The following is a 25,959-nucleotide window of genomic DNA, read 5'->3' as shown; positions in this document are numbered from 1 at the left end:
TGGGTCAGTGTACAAACCAGGAATTAATATTATTGGTGGAATTATTATTATCATGTTGCCTTTCCAAATTCTTCAGAGATTACTACATTTAATGGGCACCGGTGTCACCTGGTAGACTTGTGTCCTAAGCCTCACCTCCTGATGTGAGATTAACAAGTACAATATTTGTCTTCCTCTCATGTTCAAGTGGAAGAGATCTAAACTGAGTTGCTGCATCAGATTGTTACCATGGCAGCCATCCGCTGTTTTGGTAAATTGGATTAATTCTACTTCACTTCCTCATACAGCTGTTGACCTTTTCTTCCTTCCATCCAAATGTGATTTAAACACTTTTTTGTTATTGATAATGCTGTCGGCATTATTTCAGCCAAATGTATTCCATAAGCATTACCAATTGCCTGCCATATGCCAAATACTGGCTTAGGTACTGTCCTAGGTTGCTGGGGACAAAGAGAAGGATAGTATGTAGTTCATGCCCTCAAGATGCTCATGGTGTGGATGAAACATTTTTCCAGCAACTTCATCGAAGAACATTTAAAGGCAAAGAACATTTGTAGGAAACTCCCTGTATTGTGGACATAGCCCAACAGACGGCTGCAAGCAAGAATTTTCTTTGAAGTCTTGAGCTTTTCTTTAAAAAGTGATTAAGTTGTTCATCTTTGTACACAATATTTTGGGACTTGTTTTCATATAAAATAGAGTTTCTTCTGAAGGGAGAATTGTCTTTCTAGGAAGGTGTGCCATTCCAACTTGTGGCTTTGTTTCCCACCTGGCACTCAATCTTATCCCTGGGGACAGTCTGCCCCAGGGCTATCCTGGGGAGTGTTCACATCCAGTTTGAGAGGAACGGATATTAAATAGGAAAATGTTTGGTTCCTATAAAGGCAAAGCATGACACTGTTGATTTTCATTTAAAGAATCTTTCAAGCAAAATATTAAGCAATTTTGGGTTAAACTCGCCAGTCATCAGTAATCGTGATGTTAGAGGGAAGATAATATTGCATCATGAAGGGATGAAAGTAGCTTTTGGGATATGTGTCATTGTTGAGTTCATTTTCTCTTAGAAAATTGAGGGACTTTTTGTTTTGAAGGCTGAGGAAGGAGTGTCCAAGGAGTTGTGTGACCGGGTAAGCTGAGCCTGGCAGATATGAAGGGTCTGCAAGGTCAGGATGGGCCTTGACCACTTCCTGGTCAGTTTGATAAGGTCAGCCAACAGGTGAAGGCAGCAGGACAGTGTGATTTAGTTACATAAGAGAATTTGGGAGGACAGGTGCTACCAGGCCAAGAAAAGTCCTGGAAGTAGGAAGAAAATGTGTGGGTGTTGAGGGTGGAGGGGCAGGGCAGAGAGCCAACTTATAATGTAGCCTTGCCAGTTTCTGATGCCTGGGTCATTGTCTTGGTGAAAGGGAGTTTCATACTCAGGAGATACTCAGTAAATGTTTGCCAAATGAATAGAATAAATCAGTATTCTTTGATTCTTGTTTCATATATCTGCATTTTGAGAGAGAGTGTAGTTCATGCTGTGAGCATTTTCTCCACTTCTTTTGCAGGTTCTCTCACTTTTTTTTTTTTTTTTCAGTTACTGTTGTGAGCCAGTCTTGGTGTTCAAAGATTGCCAAGAGAAGGAAATAGGCTGTGTGTGTGTGTGTGTGTGTGTGTGTGTGTGTGTATTGAGCATTTGATGGATGGCTGAGAGCAGGGATGAAGGCCTCTTCTCTGACCTCTAGTCAGAGCTGAAACTTTTCAGTTTTTTCTCAACTCCCATTTGCAGCAATTTTGAGTGTTATCTGTGAATTGATTCATGCTGATAAATTAACTTAGAAAACCCCACATTCTCACAAACAGGAATGTGAGGGTGCAGCTGGCACTGGAACCACTGAGGGTCTGTGAGTGGGCACAGGTATCCCAAAAGTATCCAAAGGAGGGACAGCCTCAGGTCAGGTACCTGAGGGTGTGGCAGGTATAGTGATGGGTGACCTGCCAGGCAGTGCTAGGCTAGGATTTGTTGAGACGTCAAAATCAGCACCGTTAGCTGTTTCACATGGTTTGCGATGTTTCTACATGCACGATGTCGAAGGGGATTCTTTTATTTGGTAATTTAAAAACAAATTTAATTGAGAGGAACCAAAACTTTCCATATGTGAATTGTATAGAGATTGGCAAAACGGCTTACCTTATTAAACTCAAGAGGAAAGGCTCACCCATTGGACAGCAATCCCATTTAATTGGGAAATTTTTAAAAACAAGTAGCTGCCAGTAGGCAGAGGCGAAGTTTCAGTATTGGTGAGGGTTGCTTCTCCATTTCCCTTTCTTGGGTTCTAGTTTAGCCCTTTTCAGAATGATTGCCTTGTTTTGTAATAGTGTAGTTGCTTCACAGCTCCCTTAATTTACATGAAACGGTGCTTGACAAGATAGAAAAGGGAGAGGAGAGACAGAGGCAAAGAAAGACATAAATACGGCCGGGCGCGGTGGCTCACGCCTGTAATCCCAGCACTTTGGGAGGCCGAGGCGGGCGGATCACGAGGTCAGGAGATGGAGACCATCCTGGCTAACACGGTGAAACCCCGTCTCTACTAAAAATACAAAAAATTAGCCGGGCGTGGTAGCGGGCACCTGTAGTCCCAGCTACTCGGGAGGCTGAGGCAGGAGAATGGTGTGAACCCGGGAGGCGGAGCTTGCAGTGAGCCGAGATCGCGCCACTGCACTCCAGCCTGGGCGACAGAGCGAGACTCCTTCTCAAAAAAAAAAAAAAAAAAAAAAAAAAAAGACATAAATACATCAGGAGTGAGCCGGAGAGCAAGAGAGAAGGCCAGAGATAGAGTGGCAGAGGGGGACATGTTGAGAGGGAGTGAAACACAGAGCTCAGATGGAGGGGAAAGGAAGAGAGACTGATGGATTCCATCTTGCCTCAGTTTCTCCTCTTTCCACTTAGTAGAAAGGTGGCCCTGAGTCACCTTGAGATGAGAGAGGTAAATCAGCTCTTTTCTCTTTGATCTCAGCTCTTGAGTATCTTCCACATGTGAGCATCTTGGTGCTTTGGGATGTGTTTGTGGTATTTAAAGACGAATATATATATATATATATATATATATGTATATATGAATATATGTATATATGAATATGTATATATGGATATATATATGTATGTATTTTTTCATGCTCATGGCCAGTAATGTCTGGTTCTCATCCAAGAAGAGAAGATGTGTTCTAGCTTTGCAACATGGTGGTGGGCTACACCCAAGTCCTAGATGAGGTTCAAGGGTGCTTTTGACTGTATTGGGTATTTACCTTGAGTACCAGATTTGGGATCTATCATTGTGCTTGGCATAGGTTTTATGGAAGTTTCTTTACCTTTTCTGGATTCTGAACCGGGATCCTAACATCTGTGTCTCTGTTTATGTCTGTATCTGTATCTCCTTGTTTTCTAACTGTTGCTATTCTGTAGCTTTTTGCTTTTTCTCTTTAATGTGTCCTCTGTCACAATTATGTGTATCATTACTCTGCTGAGTGGGAGAAACCTGTCTCTTGATAACTACAGCTCATTATTGGTGTATACAAATGCTACTGATTTTTCTACATTGATTTTTGTATCCTGAGAATTAACTGAATTCGTTTATCAAAGCTTAGGAGTCTTTTATAGGAGTCTTTAGGGTTTTCTAGATATAAGATTATATTGTCAGCCAACAGAGATAATTTGACTTCCTGTTTTCCAATTTGGATGGGTTTATTTCTTTCTCTTGCCTGATTGCTCTGGCTAGGACTTCCAGTACTATATTGAGAAGGAGTGGTGAGAGCGGGCATCCTTGCCTTGCTCCAGATTGTAGGGGGAATGAACCTTTGATCCTTCCTCCTGGGCCTTTTGTGAATCTGTGCATGCCTTAGGTTTTATGAGCTCTACTTGCTGGGTGGTGGCCACTTCTGGTTCTGATATTTGAATTTAATCTCAAGGTAGTAATTTCTTTTTGGCTTTCAGATTTTGGAAAGGTATTTTGGACTTCTAGTCCTTAGAAGGCTCTCAGTGTTAGCCATCTGAGCAGTGGCCTGCTGTGACCCTCAGAATTCACTGATTGCTCAGAGCTTTGCTCTCAGAATTTGAAGAAAGATGATTTATTCTGTCCTTCTGGTTTGTGCAAAAAGAAAAAGGCTTAAAAAGAAAAAGTCTTAAAACTTAGTGTTACCAGGGAGACTGTACTCCCAGAACTACAGACTCTTCTCTAGCTTTTCCTCAAACCTGAACTTGTGATTTATTCTTCTCCAAAACTACTGTTAAATTCAGTTACACTACCCCTATCTCTTTAAGCGTGTACAAATCTTCATCTGTTTCTTATTTTCTGCCCAGGTTATCCAATCTTTTTTCATTTGTACAATGAAAGTAGCCGTATCATATGGGGAAAGGTTAGTGTGCCATGGTGATTCCAAGTGTGTTTTGAATCCTTTTTCTCTCCTAAGAGGGTATACACAGTATGCCTTCTTGCTTCATGTATCACTTATTACAATTTAGGTAGCACTTGAGTGCAGTATGTAGTCAGAAGAGGGAAATGGGAAGAGAATATTTATTCTGAGTGTTCAGGGCTGCCTCACCTGACTGTATTAGTCTCATATGAGGTTGTAAAATGGAAAGTAAACACTTGTCTGTCTCCCAGAGGGAAGTTCTAATGGTGGAATTTATCTATGACACATAGGATTTCTTTAGAATTATTTTGTCAAACAAACAAGTTCATTGCTTCAACTTGTAAATATTCAGGGTCTTCCAAACGATAACTGCTTTTGTCAGAGTAATTATAAGAAGAGTGAATTTTAACCCTTAAGGCCTTAGTCTATATGTCTTATAAAAACAGGATATACAGCTCCAGTAGTGCAAATGTTTCTTTGATTCTTTCTCTAGTTCACCCAATATTGACATTGCCCTTGACATCTCACTAGGCACTATATATATACACCTGACCCTGACCTTGTTTCTCACCTTCTTAAATACTCAGGAGTTTCTAACACCTGAAGGACCTGGGATGTGGAATAATGAATGGGAAAATTCCTCCTGGCTCACCAAAACACCACTCATTCTGGACTATGGATGTTTCACATCGAATGTTTCTCAAATTGGGAGCCATAGACCCTTCGGGGTCCTTACATATATCTTTGGGAGTTTTAGGAGACCAAATATTCTTATTTTCATTTTGGCAATAATGTAAAATAAATTGATGTGAGCTCATTCCAAATCACCTGCATTACAGATTTGGATGACTTTTGTATTACAGATTTGGCTACACAATTTCAAAACCTGCATTTGTGTTCGTGAGGCATCTCATAACACTGTGTGCATTGTCATGGGCTAAAAAGGAAGGCAGAGAAACACTTTGGACAATCGAGGAGGGAGGAGCCAAGATGGCCGAATAGGAACAGCTCCGGTCTACAGCTCCCAGCGTGAGCGACGCAGAAGACGGGTGATTTCTGCATTTCCATCTGAGGTACCGGGTTCATCTCACTACGGAGTGCGAGACAGTGGGCGCAGGCCAGTGTGTGCGCGCACCGTGCGCGAGCCGAAGCAGGGCGAGGCATTGCCTCACCTGGGAAGCGCAAGGGGTCAGGGAGTTCCCTTTCCGAGTCAAAGAAAGGGGTGACGGACGCACCTGGAAAATCGGGTCACTCCCACCCGAATATTGCGCTTTTCAGACCGGCTTAAGAAACGGCGCACCACAAGACTATATCCCACACCTGGCTCAGAGGGTCCTACGCCCACGGAATCTCGCTGATTGCTAGCACAGCAGTCTGAGATCAAACTGCAAGGCGGCAACGAGGCTGGGGGAGGGGCGCCCGCCATTGCCCAGGCTTGCTTAGGTAAACAAAGCAGCCTGGAAGCTCGAACTGGGTGGAGCCCACCACAGCTCAAGGAGGCCTGCCTGCCTCTGTAGGCTCCACCTCTGGGGGCAGGGCACAGACAAACAAAAAGACAGCAGTAACCTCTGCAGACTTAAGTGTCCCTGTCTGACAGCTTTGAAGAGAGCAGTGGTTCTCCCAGCACGCAGATGGAGATCTGAGAACGGGCAGACTGCCTCCTCAAGTGGGTCCCTGACCCCTGACCCCCAAGCAGCCTAACTGGGAGGCACCCCCCAACAGGGGCACACTGACACCTCACACGGCAGGGTATTCCAACAGACCTGCAGCTGAGGGTCCTGTCTGTTAGAAGGAAAACTAACAACCAGAAAGGACATCTACACCGAAAACCCATCTGTACATCACCATCATCAAAGACCAAAAGTAGATAAAACCACAAAGATGGGGAAAAAACAGAACAGAAAAACTGGAAACTCTAAAAAGCAGAGCACCTCTCCTCCTCCAAAGGAACGCAGTTCCTCACCAGCAACAGAACAAAGCTGGATGGAAAATGATTTTGACGAGCTGAGAGAAGAAGGCTTCAGACGATCAAATTACTCTGAGCTACGGGAGGACATTCAAACCAAAGGCAAAGAAGTTGAAAACTTTGAAAAAAATTTAGAAGAATGTATAACTAGAATAACCAATACAGAGAAGTGCTTAAAGGAGCTGATGGAGCTGAAAACCAAGGCTCGAGAACTACGTGAAGAATGCAGAAGCCTCAGGAGCCGATGCGATCAACTGGAAGAAAGGGTATCAGCAATGGAAGATGAAATGAATGAAATGAAGCGAGAAGGGAAGTTTAGAGAAAAAAGAATAAAAAGAAATGAGCAAAGCCTCCAAGAAATATGGGACTATGTGAAAAGACCAAATCTACGTCTGATTGGTGTACCTGAAAGTGATGTGGAGAATGGAACCAAGTTGGAAAACACTCTGCAGGATATTATCCAGGAGAACTTCCCCAATCTAGCAAGGCAGGCCAACGTTCAGATTCAGGAAATACAGAGAACGCCACAAAGATACTCCTCGAGAAGAGCAACTCCAAGACACATAATTGTCAGATTCACCAAAGTTGAAATGAAGGAAAAAATGTTAAGGGCAGCCAGAGAGAAAGGTCGGGTTACCCTCAAAGGGAAGCCCATCAGACTAACAGCGGATCTCTCGGCAGAAACCCTACAAGCCAGAAGAGAGTGGGGGCCAATATTCAACATTCTTAAAGAAAAGAATTTTCAACCCAGAATTTCATATCCAGCCAAACTAAGCTTCATAAGTGAAGGAGAAATAAAATACTTTATAGACGAGCAAATGCTGAGAGATTTTGTCACCACCAGGCCTGCCCTAAAAGAGCTCCTGAAGGAAGTGCTAAACATGGAAAGGATCAACCGGTACCAGCCGCTGCAAAATCATGCCAAAATGTAAAGACCATCGAGACTAGGAAGAAACTGCATCAACTAATGAGCAAAATCACCAGCTAACATCATAATGACAGGATCAAATTCACACATAACAATATTAACTTTAAATATAAATGGACTAAATTCTGCAATTAAAAGACACAGACTGGCAAATTGGATAAAGAGTCAGGACCCATCAGTGTGCTGTATTCAGGAAACCCATCTCACGTGCAGAGACACACATAGGCTCAAAATAAAAGGATGGAGGAAGATCTACCAAGCAAATGGAAAACAAAAAAAGGCAGGGGTTGCAATCCTAGTCTCTGATAAAACAGACTTTAAACCAACAAAGATCAAAAGATACAAAGAAGGCCATTACATAATGGTAAAGGGATCAATTCAACAAGAGGAGCTAACTATCCTAAATATTTATGCACCCAATACAGGGGCACCCAGATTCATAAAGCAAGTCCTGAGTGACCTACAAAGAGACTTAGACTCCCACACATTAATAATGGGAGACTTTAACACCCCACTGTCAACATTAGACAGATCAACGAGACAGAAAGTCAACAAGGATACCCAGGAATTGAACTCAGCTCTGCACCAAGCAGACCTAATAGACATCTACAGAACTCTCCACCCCAAATCAACAGAATATACATTTTTTTCAGCACCACACCACACCTATTCCAAAATTGACCACATACTTGGAAGTAAAGCTCTCCTCAGCAAATGTAAAAGAACAGAAATTATAACAAACTATCTCTTTGACCACAGTGCAATCAAACTAGAACTCAGGATTAAGAATCTCACTCAAAGCCGCTCAACTACATGGAAACTGAACAACCTGCTCCTGAATGACTACTGGGTACATAACGAAATGAAGGCAGAAATAAAGATGTTCTTTGAAACCAACGAGAACAAAGACACCACATACCAGAATCTCTGGGACACATTCAAAGCAGTGTGTAGAGGGAAATTTATAGCACTAAATGCCTACAAGAGAAAGCAGGAAAGATCCAAAATTGACACCCTAACATCACAATTAAAAGAACTAGAAAAGCAAGAGCAAACACATTCAAAAGCTAGCAGAAGGCAAGAAATAACTAAAATCAGAGCAGAACTGAAGGAAATAGAGACACAAAAAACCCTTCAAAAAATCAATGAATCCAGGAGCTGGTTTTTTGAAAGGATCAACAAAATTGATAGACCGCTAGCAAGACTAATAAAGAAAAAAGAGAGAAGAATCAAATAGACACAATAAAAAATGATAAAGGGGATATCACCACCGATCCCACAGAAATACAAACTACCATCAGAGAATACTACAAACACCTCTACGCAAATAAACTAGAAAATCTAGAAGAAATGGATACATTCCTCGACACATACACCCTCCCAAGACTAAACCACGAAGAAGTTGAATCTCTGAATAGACCAATAACAGGCTCTGAAATTGTGGCAATAATCAATAGTTTACCAACCAAAAAGAGTCCAGGACCAGATGGATTCACAGCCGAATTCTACCAGAGGTACAAGGAGGAACTGGTACCATTCCTTCTGAAACTATTCCAATCATTAGAAAAAGAGGGAATCCTCCCTAACTCATTTTATGAGGCCAGCATCATTCTGATACCAAAGCCGGGCAGAGACACAACCAAAAAAGAGAATTTTAGACCAATATCCTTGATGAACATTGATGCAAAAATCCTCAATAAAATACTGGCAAACCGAATCCAGCAGCACATCAAAAAGCTTATCCACCATGATCAAGTGGGCTTCATCCCTGGGATGCAAGGCTGGTTCAATATACGCAAATCAATAAATGTAATCCAGCATATAAACAGAGCCAAAGACAAAAACCACATGATTATCTCAACAGATGCAGAAAAAGCCTTTGACAAAATTCAACAACCCTTCATGCTAAAAACTCTCAATAAATTAGGTATTGATGGGACGTATTTCAAAATAATAAGAGCTATCTATGACAAACCCACAGCCAATATCATACTGAATGGGCAAAAACTGGAAGCATTCCCTTTGAAAACTGGCACAAGACAGGGATGCCCTCTCTCACCACTCCTATTCAACATAGTGTTGGAAGTTCTGGCCAGGGCAATCAGGCAGGAGAAGGAAATAAAGGGTATTCAATTAGGAAAAGAGGAAGTCAAATTGTCCCTGTTTGCAGACGACATGATTGTTTATCTAGAAAACCCCATTGTCTCAGCCCAAAATCTCCTTAAGCTGATAAGCAACTTCAGCAAAGTCTCAGGATACAAAATCAATGTACAAAAATCACAAGCATTCTTATACACCAATAACAGACAAACAGAGAGCCAAATCATGAGTGAACTCCCATTCACAATTGCTTCAAAGAGAATAAAATACCTAGGAATCCAACTTACAAGGGATGTGAAGGACCTCTTCAAGGAGAACTACAAACCACTGCTCAAGGAAATAAAAGAGGACACAAACAAATGGAAGAACATTCCATGCTCATGGGTAGGAAGAATCAATATCGTGAAAATGGCCATACTGCCCAAGGTAATTTACAGATTCAATGCCATCCCCATCAAGCTACCAATGACTTTCTTCACAGAATTGGAAAAAACTACTTTAAAGTTCATATGGAACCAAAAAAGAGCCCGCATCGCCAAGTCAATCCTAAGCCAAAAGAACAAAGCTGGAGGCATCACACTACCTGACTTCAAACTATACTACGAGGCTACAGTAACCAAAACAGCATGGTACTGGTACCAAAACAGAGATATAGATCAATGGAACAGAACAGAGCCCTCAGAAATAATGCCGCATATCTACAACTATCTGATCTTTGACAAACCTGAGAAAAACAAGCAATGGGGAAAGGATTCCCTATTTAACAAATGGTGCTGGGAAAACTGGCTAGCCATATGTAGAAAGCTGAAACTGGATCCCTTCCTTACACCTTATACAAAAATCAATTCAAGATGGATTAAAGATTTAAACGTTAGACCTAAAACCATAAAAACCCTAGAAGAAAACCTAGGCATTACCATTCAGGACATAGGCGTGGGCAAGGACTTCATGTCCAAAACACCAAAAGCAATGGCAACAAAAGCCAAAATTGACAAATGGGATCTAATTAAACTCAAGAGCTTCTGCACAGCAAAAGAAACTACCATCAGAGTGAACAGGCAACCTACAACATGGGAGAAAATTTTCGCAACCTACTCATCTGACAAAGGGCTAATATCCAGAATCTACAATGAACTCAAACAAATTTACAAGAAAAAAACAAACAACCCCATCAAAAAGTGGGAGAAGGACATGAACAGACACTTCTCAAAAGAAGACATTTATGCAGCCAAAAAACACATGAAGAAATGCTCATCATCACTGGCCATCAGAGAAATGCAAATCAAAACCACTATGAGATATCATCTCACACCAGTTAGAATGGCAATCATTAAAAAGTCAGGAAACAACAGGTGCTGGAGAGGATGTGGAGAAATAGGAACACTTTTACACTGTTGGTGGGACTGTAAACTAGTTCAACCATTGTGGAAGTCAGTGTGGCGATTCCTCAGGGATCTAGAACTAGAAATACCATTTGACCCAGCCATCCCATTACTGGGTATATACCCAAAGGACTATAAATCATGCTGCTATAAAGACACATGCACACGTATGTTTATTGCGGCACTATTCACAATAGCAAAGACTTGGAACCAACCCAAATGTCCAACAATGATAGACTGGATTAAGAAAATGTGGCACATATACACCATGGAATACTATGCAGCCATAAAAAATGATGAGTTCATGTCCTTTGTAGGGACATGGATGAAATTGGAAACCATCATTCTCAGTAAACTATCGCAAGAACAAAAAACCAAACACCGCATATTCTCACTCATAGGTGGGAATTGAACAATGAGATCACATGGACACAGGAAGGGGAATATCACACTCTGGGGACTGTGGTGGGGTCGGGGGAGGGGGGAAGGGATAGCATTGGGAGATATACCTAATGGTAGATGACACGTTAGTGCGTGCAGCGCACCAGCATGGCACATGTATACATATGTAACTAACCTGCACAATGTGCACATGTACCCTAAAACTTAGAGTATAATAAAAAAAAAAAAAAAAAAAAAAAGGAAGGCAGAAAGGTGGGCTGTGCATTGAGCCATGTGTTCACATAATCTGAAGGTGACTGACAACAGAGTGCTGGATTTTCTGTGGTCTAAATAGAAAAGTGATGGGAGAATGGGCTTTTGATCATAGAAATGTGTTCAAGATAGCCATGTATGAGCCAGTCCCGCACGGACATTGACTGTGGAGATGTAGCTTGGAAAACTGCATCCCCGTCAGGTTAGCTGACTATTGCTAATTCTGATGTCATTGATTTTGTAAATGTGTGTCGATTTTAGAAATGTACTGATGCTGTTGGTACAAGGAAGTTTATATCTGATTTATGTTTGTTCATAGTTAAGTGTAATATGTTATAAGCAATGTTTAAGTCAACTCTGGAATTCACAGGATTCTTTTTTTTTTTTTTTTTGGAGACGGAGTCTCACTCTGTCACCCTGGCTGGAGTGCAGTGGTGTGATCTCAGCTCACTGCAACCTTTGCCTCCCGGGTTCAAGCAATTCTCCTGCCTCAGCCTCCCGAGTAGCTGGGATTACAGACATGCACTACCACACCCGGCTAATTTTTGTATTTTTAGTACAGATAGTACTGTGTTGGCCATGCTGGTCTCGAACTCCTGGACTCAGGTGATCCGCCTTCCTCGGCCTCCCAAAGTGTTGGGATGACAGGCGTGAGCCACTGCACACAGCCTCACAGGAGTCTTTAATAAGGTCTACATGTTAATCAAGTATGAGAAATATTCTAATGGGACTTGAAATCCTCAAGAACTATATAGGACGGAAAACATAAGTGTTTCATTTCTCAATGTGTATTTATCTCCTCTGTCATTTAAATTGAGGGCATAACACTATGGAAAAAGTAAATGTTAAATCTCCCAATCCTAAACAAGGAACGTCTGTGTTATTTTCCCACAGAAGAAACTCTTCTCGCCCTTTTTCCTATTTTTCATTCATTCATTCATTCATTCATTTACTCATTCATTCCTTCACTTAAACTTTTTTTTTTGTATCCACTGTATGCCCAGGACTGCACGAGGCACTGAGTACTTAGAAATAGTCTCCTGCCAAAAGTCCAAGTTGCTTGGCTGGTTTCCCTCTATTCAGAAGGTGATGACATCAGTGAGGATATAAAGTAGCAAGAATCACGAGGTAGATGGCCTGGGTCCAGATCTCAGTGGTGGTCAGAAATCAAACAGACCAGCTACACTCAGGGAGTTTCCACCCCTCTACCACAGAGAAGTGACGCCTTCATGCCTTCTTTTGCAAGGTTGAATTGTGCCAAAACTTTCTTTTGTAGTCCAGCATCAATAGGACTGCCGGTCCCTGTCAGATGACCTCCAAGCTCCTTCCGCTCTTACTACACTGTGGGCTGTGATTGATGGAGGAGGGTTTACAAACGTGGAGGCCTCCAGAGCCAGGCAGGTAATGCTGACCCAGTGATGTGGAGTCTACGGCCAGTAAGAGCCTCTGCTTTATATGCTGGGAGGAAAGCCACTTCTCAGCTCAGCCACTTTTCAGCTCTGGACAGCAGCTGCCATGCACGATGCAGGTCCAAATGTTGACAGTGATGCTGGGTTTTAAGTGCAAATTTCCAATTTTGCATAGCTAAAGAGACAGTATTTCCAGTGTGCAACCTGTGAATGTGCCCTGGTTAATTCAAATGTTAGGTTTGATCTCATTTTGAAGATCCCTGTTGATTCGAGCATGTTGTTCCATGACATCCTAACTTAGAACTTTAATGGTGTTACTTATTTCCCTTCTAAGTTTGTGGGATACCCTTTTGACCCAATGACAGTTTATCTTTACTTTCTTGTTTGCTCTTAGATGTTATTGTACTTTACAGAGTTATCTCACTCAGGCTCAACAGATGTTGTTGTATAATATTTTCTACTTCCAGGTTATGCTGCCCTAATGGGTATGTCCTAGGGGAGGAGGGCTAAGCTGTGAATGCATTGGGATGTCCAGGATACCTATCACTCCGATATTTTTCTTTCTCTTCATCTGAAGCTGGAAGTACTTGGCTGTCACAGTTTTTAAGATGTGTGAAAAGTCAATTGGAATGAAATGATTTGTAATAAAAAATAAGGGAATTTAGTTATAAGAGGTCATATTTTCTGGTATTGTAGTATTGTTTTCTTTCATTGTTGGAATTCTTTGTCCCTTAGGCAAAAGTTGTATTTTAGGGCTAAGAAATTTGAACAGCCACGAAAGCTGTGTGTCTGGGTTACTTTTCCTCTTTTTCTTTTTCGTTTTTTCTTTTTTTGTTTTGTTTTGGAGTAGTCTCATAACAGGTTCAGTCAAGCTTTGTTCCTTAAATGTTCTCACATGTATCTGTCCTTGTCTTCCATTTTTAAGTGACCAGGCAGAAACACCCAAGGTAATGGCATGTTCTGAGAGCCCCTTCCCATCACGTGCACACCAAGAGCAGCCACTATCTTCAATTTCAATTTTTAAAATTTTGTTTTGGGGTGTCTTCTGGGAATGTTCAGCCTTGATGCCCTCTGTGATCATTTACAACTGTAAAAGTATGGCACATGCTCAGATGGCCATTTCATCATAATAGTATCTTTGATCAATTATGTATTTTAAATGTCTAGATAGAAAGCAAAAAAGTATGAAAGGAGTTATTTATTCTGAAATCCGAATGCAGTGGTGAAAGTATCACCTATTGTTAGCTCCCTGTATCTACCTGGTGCAAGGATGAAGGGTTTATGGGAGGTTTAGGCAGCATTTCCTGATTTGTTGCCCATCTGCCTAGCATGGTGATCTCTGCCATTTCATCCCCTGGGATGACACAGTCGTCTCATAATTCTTGCTTCTATCAAACAGAATTACAGTCTGCTCTGAGCTGAGGTGGAAGAATTCATGAAGAGCCAACCCACATTTGTTTAGAAAATCCATTTTAGGATACTCCTGTGTCATGTTTTCTGATGGGAATGCTGTAAACTAGTGTTAGTGTTTGTAGTGCAAAATACTTTTTCTTTTCCTCCTTGGGGATCTCTTGGTATCGCATGTACTTCAAACTGGCAGATATGGTTTGCTTGGGGATGCTAATGAATGAATTACAGTGTAGGCATTTCTGCTTGAACACAGTGTATACATTCCAGAAAAGCCTAGTGTTCTGCAAACATACACAAGGCATATGGAAAAAAAAGTAGGAATGGTGCAGACAACTCGATATCTATACTTCTATAATGAGAATACTCAAATAAGCAGTAATAATCCTAATAAAATACTAGCACAGTAAAAAAAGTCATGCGAGATTCTTAATAGACATAGAAATACAGTAGTTCAGAATACCTGTGGGTATCTTAAAAATGATAACTATTGGGTACTAGGCTTAGTACCTGGGTGATGATGAAATAATCTGTATAACAGAGCCTCATGACACGAGTTTACCTATGTAACAAACCTGCACATGTACCCCTGAGCTTAAAATAAGAGTTAAAAAATAATCTGAAAAAGTGTTTAAACATGAAAATATAGGATTTTGCAGGGTTTTTTTTTTTTTTCCGAAGGTGAAGGAAGCTTAATGGAGGTGTAGGGTTGTGGCTGCTTAGTTAGTGGAGCAAGGACAAAATGCACAAGGATCTGAGAGAACCCAGACAACACAGGTGGACAGTCTGTGCTAACAGTACAACCACAGTGCGAAACAGCATCAGGTCCACACTGCATTCCTCTGTAGCCTGCTGTGTGCAGCTGTTAATGGACTTGCATTTCAGTGGCTGTTACTTGGGGGCACACTGGGAAAAGTCATTTCTGCTTTAGCATACTTCATTTACTGACCTAGGGAGTGAGCTAACTGATGGTGCAGGTACCTGCATTATGGCAGAGAAGTCCTAAAAAAACATCTTGAGTCCAGAACTCATGGGAAGCTCCAGCAAGGCACAAAGACAGAAATGAATGTCAGATTGATTCTGTGAACACAGATTCAAGGTTTTGTGTTGGTCTAAAAGGATAATGCATCACCTCTCTCCTAAGAGATTATAGCAAATGAGCTGTCTTCAGGATAATAAAAGTGCTTTAGTCCACAAAAGTTCAGAAATCCATTAGGTTGTTAGAGTCCTAATGACCCTGGCTAAAATGAAAATATGATGGGATAGCTGAGCACTTGGAGCCTTGGGAAGTGACCTGCCCTGTTGAATGATATTTAAAATTAAGGTTCTTATCAGTAACAATTAAAGTTCTTATTCAGCTCTTTTCATCAGTCCTAGCATACATTCACTGTGAAGCTGGTACATTGGTCTACATTGATTAGCCCCAATGAAAGTGCAGTGATTTAAGACACTTGTATTAGTTAGAGTTCTCCAGAGAAACAGAACCAATAAGATGTGTGTATGTGTACATACATGTACATACACACAGACACACATATAAAATGTATGTGTTATATATATACCATATGTACACACATATCTCTTTACATATTATTTAGAAAGAGAGAGATTGAGATATATTAATTTTAGGGAATTGACTCGTGTGACTGTGGAGGCTGGTAAGTCCAAACTCTGCAGGGCAGGATGGCAGGCTGGAGACCCAGGGAGGGGTTGAAGTTGCAGTCCCGGTGAAAAGGTCATCTGCTAGCAGAATTCCCTCTTCCTCCTGGGAGATCAGTCTTTGTTCTGTTAAGGTCTTTACTGAATGGATGAGACTCACCTACCCACATTATGGAGGGTAAACTGCTTTACTCGAAGTCTACTGATTTAAGTGTTAATCTCATGTACAGAGTACCTTCACAGCAACATACTCACATGTTTAAGCAAATATCTGGCTACCGTGGCCTAGACAAGTTGACATAAATAAAATTCACCATCATAGCCACTAAGAAAGTTTTTCAAATATTCTCAGTTTTGAGATCACAGAGCGTTTTTGAATGCTTCTAGCTTGTAAGTAACAGAAAATTCAAACTATTTGAATCAGGAAAAATTCCTATACATATATTATATTCCCCCACCTTCCAAATGCCTAAACACTCCACAACAAAGTACCAAATTTCTATGTCAACTTTAAAGTTATTAATTTTTTTTTTATTTCCCAAGAAAAGGCTTGCCCTACATCTGCTTATGGCTCTGAGATGCCCCTCTGGGAGGTCTTATTATTCAGCCTTGTTCCTACCCCTCTGTCTTCACCCTACAATCCCACTCTTCATCAAAATACTCATAACTTCAAACTGAGCACCTCACAGAAGATACATCTTGGATTTGGGCAGCCATAGCCGTCCAGCAAGCCACACAAACATTTTGCTTTGCTGGACTTTCCTGGGCAAATTCACTGCTTTCTGGCTTCCCTTCTTCTTCTCCTTCCTTCTCACTCCTTCCTTCCCTCCTTTCTGCAGATGCTCTGTGAAAGGAAGACATTGTGCCAAGAAGTCCAAAGGCTGACATTTTAATGAGGAACAGGAAGAAATTTTTTCCAGTAGGAATGGGTTCTATCTGCTATGCCCAACTACTAGTTTTTGTCCCCGAGTTGGAAGTTACTAACAGGGATGTAATAGAGAGCACAGGGAAGCCAGAAGTATTCCATCAGGTATAGGTCCTAAAGCAGCCACAAGAGAGCTGCTAGATTCATTATTCCGTTCCCAGCAGCTCAGCGGGCACTGGTGTTAAATCACGTCTTCTCTCTGCTAGTCAAGGGCGTTTCTAGAAGTGCAAACTCTTAGGTCCCACCGCAGACTCACTGAAGCATCTGCATTTTAACAGAATCCCTGAATAGTTTGTGTGTGTAATAAACTTTGCTGAGAAAATGAGAAGCGAGAGTGTGGGATGTGGCCACATCTGCTGGGCAGATGCTTTCAAAGAGGCAGAAAAGACCCAGAAAAAAAAATGCTGAACTGAGGTAGAAGAGATAAACTTCGCTGACTTCAAAATTTTGCCTGGGGGTGCTTCTGGTTATTTGATATCTGAATTTTGAGATGTTCATGACTGAGTTTACCTTGAGGATACAGTCATTTATGCTCCATCAAGTATTCTGTATATTTTGTGAATGTATTCTTCAAAGACAAAACCACATGCAAAAAAAGCACACAGAACGTTAAGTGTACAGCTTGCTGAGTTTTCAGATGGAATGCTTGAATAAATCAGAATGCAGGTGAAGAAACAGAACATTTTACTACATTGCAGAAGCCCAGGGTCCCCCCCCCCAATCACTGCAGACCCCTCTTTCCAGAGAAGTTATTGTCCTTTGCTTCTGTTTTGATGTTACATACATAGGTTCATACAATGCATTTGGCTTCTTTCAGTCACCATGATGTTTGTGAGCTTGTAGTTTAAAACTTTTATTTTCACTGATGTAGTCTATTCCACAGTGTGAAAATACCGCAATTGATTTATCCAGTTTACTAAAAATGTCCATTTGGATAATTTCTGTGTCATGGATGTCACACATAGTACTGCAGTGATCATCTGTCACAAGTCTTTTGGTAAGCATATGGACATGGGCAACACATTGGTCAGAAAAATTGTTTGCAAAATCACTGAAGCTTTCCGTGCTAACTCAGGGTCATCATATGAAGTCTAGCTTTATCCCGGGAGGTAGTAGAATGATATCCCCAGGGATTTGTGGAGATGGTGGTTCAGCTTAGCATTTTAAGTTACCGTGTGGAGTGTTTGTCCTTGCCGTCAGGCTGCCAAATGACATTTTACTATTCTCAGTACTTCCTTCCTTCCTGGGTCTTTTGTCTGTTGAAGTTTTGGAAAACAAATTATCAGATACATTAGAATTGTGTTTTAAAAGCACTGTTTGAATGTAGATTATTTCTAAACCAAGCAGGGGTGTCTCAGAGGCTGTTTTTCTTTTTTTTTCTGACTTTCCAACCTCCTTTTGGATTCTTCTTAGTCAGATACCTGAGTTTCAGATAGCTGGAGTGCTGCCATCATTTTGAAATTATAATATTATTTGTAGTTTTACTCCTGTTCCATTTTTATTCATACATTAACTCCTTTTTCAATTTTGTTTATTTTGGAGATTCCTCAAGTAGATGCTGTAGTTCTAAATTATCTTTTTAGAAATTCAGCCACTTAGAGAGATAAGCACAAAACATGGAGTTATATTATTTTGAATACAAATAAGAAGTAGGTGCCCAGCCAGGAGTGGGCATGGTTCATGCTGAATGAATCCACTGGAGTCTGTCAGTCACTTCATATGTTGGTCACTGAAATTATTTTTAATCCTTTCTCTTTTGAGTCTTAGGGGAATGCTTAAAAAACTACACACCAAGATAAACAAATACTACTGCTTTGTGGATTCTCCTTGTCCACTCAAGCAAATTATTGTAATAACTTTATGACAACTTTCTATATAGTTCTTGCATTTAAAGCAACAATTAGGCATTTATTCCTATTTTCTTTAGTAGCTTTTGTATTCATTTTGCTGCCCAGAGGGTATGTTATTATCCAAGCAGGTGAGAGAGGAGTGCAGCTCAGACCACAGAACTGGAAACCAAGGGAATGTTAAAGGTTTGGGATAAAAAAATATAAACTGAGATAAATGTAAATATACAGCTTACTGAAATTGCTTTTCCTTATCTGATGAACCAGTGAGTTAAGATGATGACTCAATTAAGGGAAGACTGGTTTTTCTTTTCTTGACTTTTCTTGGGGGTTGAGGTCAGCCTCTGTTGGCAGATGGTGTTTGCAGATCTGAAGGCTGTTTGCTCTTTTAGTGAACTGTGGCTTTGGGAACACAAAAGTGGACCAGTGGCAGGACAACTGATCCTTGAATAATGTGCCAAAGTCGGATTTTAATGAGATTTTTGGCTACCTTTTTTTAAAAACACACTTCAGAAAATCACCCTTCCGTTCTGCAGAAAATCAAATGAAAAAATAATTAAACTTTCCAGCAGGTTGCTGGGAAAGCAGTGGAGTGGACAGATGATGGGCAGTGGGGTCTGTCTCAGGAGGCTTCTGCTTTGTGGAGAATGTACCCCAAGCACCATGGAGTGAGACCGGGAGCCTCTCAAAGGGTCTTACTTCACTGTTGAAATGTCAAATTAGAGATGTCAGCAACATTTTATTTCAAAGGGGAAATGTGTTTAAGAAATTCATAAGAAAATCTCTACAACTAATTTTACTTGGTTTGATACTTTTGATCTATTTTTGTATGTTTTCATAAAACAGACTGGGACACTGTTATTGATTTATCTTTGTGTTTGATGGTTGGGTAGCAAGGTAGGTAGGTAAAAATCAGTGATTCTTAAAATTAAAAGTAGATTATAAAACTCGGTGACATGTCTTTTGGGACACTAAACAAATAATATCACATATATAAATAGTTTTAACATAATTCAAAGATGTCATAGACAATAATTTCATGCTTAATTACATTAACTGTCATAGAAAACTAATGTAACCTTTGAAATAGGCTTTTAAAAAGGCCAGAGCACCGGGCACGGTGGCGCATGCCTGTAATCCCAGCACTTTGGGAGGCCCAGGCGGGTGGATCACCTGAGGTCAGGAGTTCAAGACCAGCCTGAATAACATGTTGAAACTCTATCTCTACTAAATACAAAAAAATTAGCCAGGCATGGTGGCGCGTGCCTGTAATCCCAGCCACTTGGGAGGCTGAGGCGGGAGAATCGTTTGAACCCAGGAGGCAGAGGTTGCAGTGAGCCGAGATCGTGCCATTGCACTCCAGCCTGGGCGACAAGAGTGAAACTCTGTCTCAAAAAATATATATATAAAATAAAATAAAAAGGCCAAAGCAGGTTGTGTAGAATTCTAACAAATTTTCTTGCCAGTGTTATGTATATTTGAGCATAAGGTTTATTTAACTGTAAACAAAACGTGATGAGGAACCAAACAGTTATCTTTCCATGATACCAATAATAATTCAGAATTAAATGCCAACTATTTAATAATCAGTGGTAGGTATTCAATATATAATCAGTGCTAATTCAGGAAATATATTTGCTATTGAATGAACAAGTAGAATGCACTTATATATTCCAGAATGTACTGATTTCGAAAGAGAAATTGTTCTTTACTGGTATTCATGATTCTGTAGTATATTAATAAATCATTTGGAGATTTTAGAATGACAAGCAAATCCTTATCTTTTGTAGAAGCTATGGTGAGTTATCTATGTATGCAATATGTTGTCTTTGTTGATCGCCATAGAATCATGTAATTTAATTTATTTTTGGAACTCACATATATGTTATTAACAAATATAAATAATATTTTGTTAAAAATGCCCCCACATTTATTATTGAAGTATATTCAAAATATATTCAAGATTTGATACATTGGTTTAGCCATTCAGCTGATGTTGAGATTGCAGCAACCTCAGCCCACAAAAACACAAACCTGAGGTGGAGTGTATTCATCCATTTTTGTACTGCTTTGAAGAAATACCTGAGACTGGGTAATTTATAAAGAAAAAGAGGTTTAAGGGACTCACAGTTCCACATGGCTGGGAGGCGAGGGAGGAGCAAAGGCACATCTTACATGGCTGAAGGCAAGAGAGTGTGTGTAGGGGAACGGCCCTTTATAAAACCATCAGATCTCATGAGACTTATTCACTATCACTAGAACAGCACCAAAAAACCTGCCCCCGTGATTCAGTTACCTTCCATCAGGTACCTCCCATGACACATGGGAATTATGGGAGCTACAGTTAAGATGAGATTTGGCTGGGGACAGAGCCAAACCATATCATGGAACAAGATAAAGGGGCCTTTGCATGTCAGAAATAGTTCCAGATACCAGCAAGACAGACAGTTTCTTGAGTTGGACTTATTTTCAGCTTTCTTAGCATCTGTTATATGGTAAATAGTGGGCGCATCCCCATTGAAAACAATGTGAAAGGAGAAAGGGAAAAAATAGTGAAGAAGGCAGCAGCACGCTGAAGACTGGTGCATGCTGGTGCGTGTAAAGTTCAGATGGAATCTGCTGTGCTTTCTAGAATCTCCTACTTTCTCACTGTGTTCAGCAGGAGAGACCCTTTTTATCTTGGCAATCATATTTCCCATAGTTAGTCCTCTCCCTAACCCTGTGCAGGCAAGGCTTAGCTGCTCACTCCTTCACACTGTTGCCTTCTTTGTCCTCTCTGAGTCAGAGTTCTGAGCCTGTCGCAGATCCAGTATAAAACTCCACCTTCTCCACATCAGTTCACGTTGAGCCCTTCTTCTCCAGACCTCCTGCCTCCTTCCTTCATTCATTAATGGAGAAGCTGCTGCAGGTCAAACCTGTAGGTGCCGGGTGCTACAGGGGATATGAGACTGATAGGGTAACTGGGAAGGTAAAACAGCCACAGAAAACTCAATACACAGAACTCAGATAAAGAGTGGCAGGGGATAGGAGGGGAGGGATTTCCCTGTGACTGGAGTATTCAGGGCCGACTTTCAGAGGTGACTTTTGGGAAAGCCTTGACTGATTTGTAGCATTTGGCTTCTAGATAGCATATATGAAAGGCTTAGATTCTGATCAAAGACTGAGATTAAAATATACTTTGAAAAGGGAGGGAAGAATTTGTTTCTCAACTTTTGCAATCTCAAAAATTGAAAAAACAAAACAAAAAAACCAGAACAGTGATGTGAAATCAGTCAAGAAAACATGCTTCATCTGAACTTTGTCTCCTTGTTGAAAAGTTACATATTTTGTATTGAGCCTTCTACAAAATACTTGAGGACACTGAGCACCTAAGGATGGAAAAAGAGTGAAGAAAATGAGACAGAAAACTAGAGTGGCCATAGAATTGATTCCCTAAACCAGGACTTGTTTGAGAATAAAATGAGGATAACTAATATACTTTAAATTATATAATTTTATCAAAACACTATTTTATTATCTGACAAATTGTTTTTATTATATAGTGGTCCTATGTACTAGTTCTAGTCAAAAATTTTAAAAATAAAGTTATTTGTAAAATATATAAAAGGTTTACGTACATTGAAGCAAAAATTCTTATCACTTATGTGAATATTAAAAAGTGCATGTGCAAAATAGTACTGGAATATATTCACGTATTTTAATGTTAATTCTATATCTATCTCTAATGCCAGAATTAGTGGTACTTTTCTGAAGAATACATCTTCGTTCAATGTGGTCGTATTCTTAATTTTTTCTATAATATTGCTTGTAATCTTTAGAGTTATGGTTTCATTTTTTGACTATTAAATTTGAAATTGTTGACATCAGCAGTTGACTCTTCTGTGTAGATCATAATTTTTTAATTAAGAAGACACTCTCAAGTGTTGAACTATAATTGTAGAGTAAATTCTAAGTGGAGGATATCGTAAATTCTTTTTTGTCTTGGTATTGACATGTAAATGTTAACATATGTGAATAATTCAGTCCACGATTGTCACAGGTTCTATGTCTTTACCTCCTTTCAAAATACTTTCTTTAACAAATACTTTGACAAATTTATTAACATTTATAAGACAAGACTTACCAAGTTGTGTTCGTTTATGATTCTTTAAATGTTTTCCAATACTTAGATACATCAAAATTATAGGACTTCTCAATTCCATCCTATTGTTACAGAATATAAATTTAATCAAGATAGGAAGACCCTCAAAAGATCTTTCTCATGAGTTCAGATATTCCAAATAATAATTACAGAATTTCATTTGTACATTTGAACTCTTATCATTGAATTTGTTTAATTCCTTAGTGTCTTCCTGTTTTCAGGCTTACTTTTCAATTAATTTCAGTCTGCAAAAAGCTTCAAAAATAGATGGTAGCTTTTATATGGTTCCTAATGTTGAGTGATTTGATTAAAGTTTTCCAACTGATTTTGAACAAAATGTAATGAAAGCTTAGAAGACTAGTTTACAAAAAAAAAAAAAAAAAATAGGACATTTACAATGATTTGCTAAGTAGTTCTTCAAAGGCTCAAAGATTTCCAAAATCTGAATGGTGATAAGCCACAATGAGAGAAAATGACTATTGCAAAAATGTTGAGATAATGTAATTATGTGTGTCAATATATTTGAAATTTTGACAACATTTCAGTCTACAGAATATTAAAGTGTATTTGGATTCAGTTATATGTGCCACCAATTCCAGTGTGTTTCTACTTCACAGATTTCTTAATTTGGTAAAAATATAATTTTTACTACAATGCTTTATTCTTTTATTTTTCATGGAATTTGTAATAGCGTTCGTAATAAGATTGTATGTTCTATCTTTGACAGAATGAACTTCCTGAACGTTGATTCCATTCAGTGGATGGGGAAAAAAACAAACCAGTGCTGGAATTGATGCAACTGTTTATTTTTTTTTTTGAAGCATCTCATTGCATTGATATAAAACTAGCCTCATTTACCTTTTTGAAGTTCTTCTTCTGCTAGTGCAGGCAATATACACAGCTCTCATTTCACTCTTTGCATTTGTACAAGATAATCTGTAATAAAAATTTGTGCAGAATTAATTTGGAACAAGTCTCTTGACCTAAGAAAAAAGTCATGTTTCACAGGTGGTATGTAAGTAAGCCTTCTGCAGCTGCATGAGTAAAATTGTAGACTCTGAAGAATATGGTTGTCTTAAAAGACATAGTTCCTGTTGCTCTTCAGGAGATTTATATTTTCTGGTTTTCATGTGGCTAATGATACCACTGTATGTAGGGCACCATGGTATCACTTTAGGGCACCATGGTGCACCATGGTGGAGGATAATACTGAGAAGCTTTTTTTAAAAAAAAACAAAAACAAAAAAACGAAGATGGTATAGTGTTCCCGTGTAACCTGTACTCACTTTTCCTTATTTATTAATATCTTGCTTTGGTGTAGTACAATTGTTACAATTAATGAACTGATTATTGATTCACTATTATTAACTAAAGTCCATATTCGGATTTCCTCAGTTTTTCCCTAAAGTCCCTTTTTTGTTGTTGTTCCAGCATCCATTTAGGACACCACGTTCCATTTTGTTGTCATGTCTCCTTATGCTCCTTTTGGCTATGACAGTTAACCATTTGGAGCAGTTATGCATTTATCTACTTTCGAGGTTGTTGCTGCCAGAAGAGTTTACTGCGAAATGTAAAAGCATTGCCATCCAATAAAATAACTAGATATACACTTAAACCATATAAAAAAGGTCAACTCACTGTAGCAAGAGCATCCGAGGTACTCTCCATTGCTCTGAGGCAGGCCTATCCAACTTCTGTTTTCTGTACATATTTCATGTGCACTATGCTTGTAATTTTCCAATTTCCCACTGACTTGACCACACGGCTGCCTGGCAGCATTTTGCACATCTTGCAGATAGGAGCACAACTGGCTGACTTTCCAGGTGGTTGGCCGAGGCAGCTGCTTCCAATCTTTCTCCACCACCATCTGAGTCCTGAAGGAGTTTTCTGTCTGCAGCTTCTCTTGTCCAAGCTTAATTTGTTTTATCAGTGAATGTGAGTGTTCTGCTTCCTGCCCCTGAAAGGAAAGTTTTAGTTACATTGTGTCTGGAAAAGGTCAGGAAAGGAGAGATGGGTTTATTCCTGATTATCTTCTGATTTAGCCACATATTATTCTATCTTTTCACTGCATGGATGTCTCACACACTAACAGGTGAAAGTGGAGATACAACAAATTCACCCTGGATTGTTTTAATGCAACTGTTAATAAGCTTAAATGTACAGTTGGTACACAGTTTAATAATAGGTAATACATGTTAATGCAACTTGTTGATTAAAATGAAAGGGAAATTCTAGTTAGATGCTTCATGTGGACAGGATACAGGACAACGAACATAAACTGGGACTGTCCTAAATCTGGGAAGGTGACAGATGTCACCTAAAGAGAAATTTTACATAAAAATTGATATTGTATTCCTTTTTTGCTTCTCAGCTCCTTTTTTTTTGCCAAAGTAGAAATATTTTTTTCCATGAAAAATAACTATAATATACCTACTTGCGCTAACACTACTAGATTATGCCTACATTTAACTTCACTCAGGTTAAGTTGATAGAAGAGAAATACGGGGAGAGCAAATGTGCACTGCAAGGCAAGTGCTCTTAAATAAAGAGCTGCATATTCTTACATATACATGTACACACGTATAGCACATACATACTGTAATGTCAACAGAATGAACTTCTGTATATGAAAAAGTTTGATCTGGACCTGGGGCACGATGTGAATAAAAGCCTGTTCATCTGAGTGTGGAAGGGTGAGGTCTGCATTGCCCCATGCACATTGCTATGCTCAGGGCCTTATGTTAATAGATGGTAACGGGTCAGCACAGCAAGGCTCATCTATCCCTCTGCCTGTTAGTGTAAATAAAATTTTATTGAAACACAGCCAAACTTATTCATTTATGCATTGTCTAGGCTGCTTTCACACTGCAGTGATAGGGCTAAATAGTTGCAGCAGAGATAGTATGTCCTGCAAAGCCAAAAGTATTTTCTACCTGGTGCTTCACAGAAAAGATATTATGTACCCAGGGACTATAACTTTTGCAGACTGACCTTGAACATGACCTAATTTAATTGTCCCTTTTCAGTTCCCAGAGTACTGCCACGCGTAAGACATTTCTGTCCATGGAGCTCCCATACTACAAGATTTTCTTCCTTTGACCCTTTTTGAAACACCACCCAGACATGGACAGGAGACAACCATCTACTTC

The 25,959-nt window shown here is 39.8% G+C and overlaps 1 protein-coding gene across 5 annotated transcripts in view; it reads left to right on the top strand.

The window, feature by feature from the left end:
- The window catches only part of RASEF (RAS and EF-hand domain containing), a 239,635-nt gene that overhangs the window by 158,286 nt on the left and 55,390 nt on the right, over positions 1–25,959 (top strand). For 2 of the 5 annotated variants that reach the window (XM_047422826.1, XM_005251731.5), the window contains exon 1: positions 11,646–12,823. The exons of the other annotated variants lie outside the window; for them this stretch is intronic. In XM_047422826.1, coding sequence (XP_047278782.1) covers positions 12,780–12,823 — 44 coding nt within the window. In that variant the 5' untranslated portion in view covers positions 11,646–12,779. Of the gene's footprint in view, positions 1–11,645; positions 12,824–25,959 lie in introns of those variants that run through there. 5 annotated transcript variants of the gene reach the window in all.

This window comes from Homo sapiens, chromosome 9, assembly GCF_000001405.40.
Source record: "Homo sapiens chromosome 9, GRCh38.p14 Primary Assembly".
In the NCBI taxonomy this organism is placed as follows: domain Eukaryota; kingdom Metazoa; phylum Chordata; class Mammalia; order Primates; family Hominidae; genus Homo; species Homo sapiens.
This window is presented reverse-complemented; position numbering and strand designations above follow the sequence as displayed.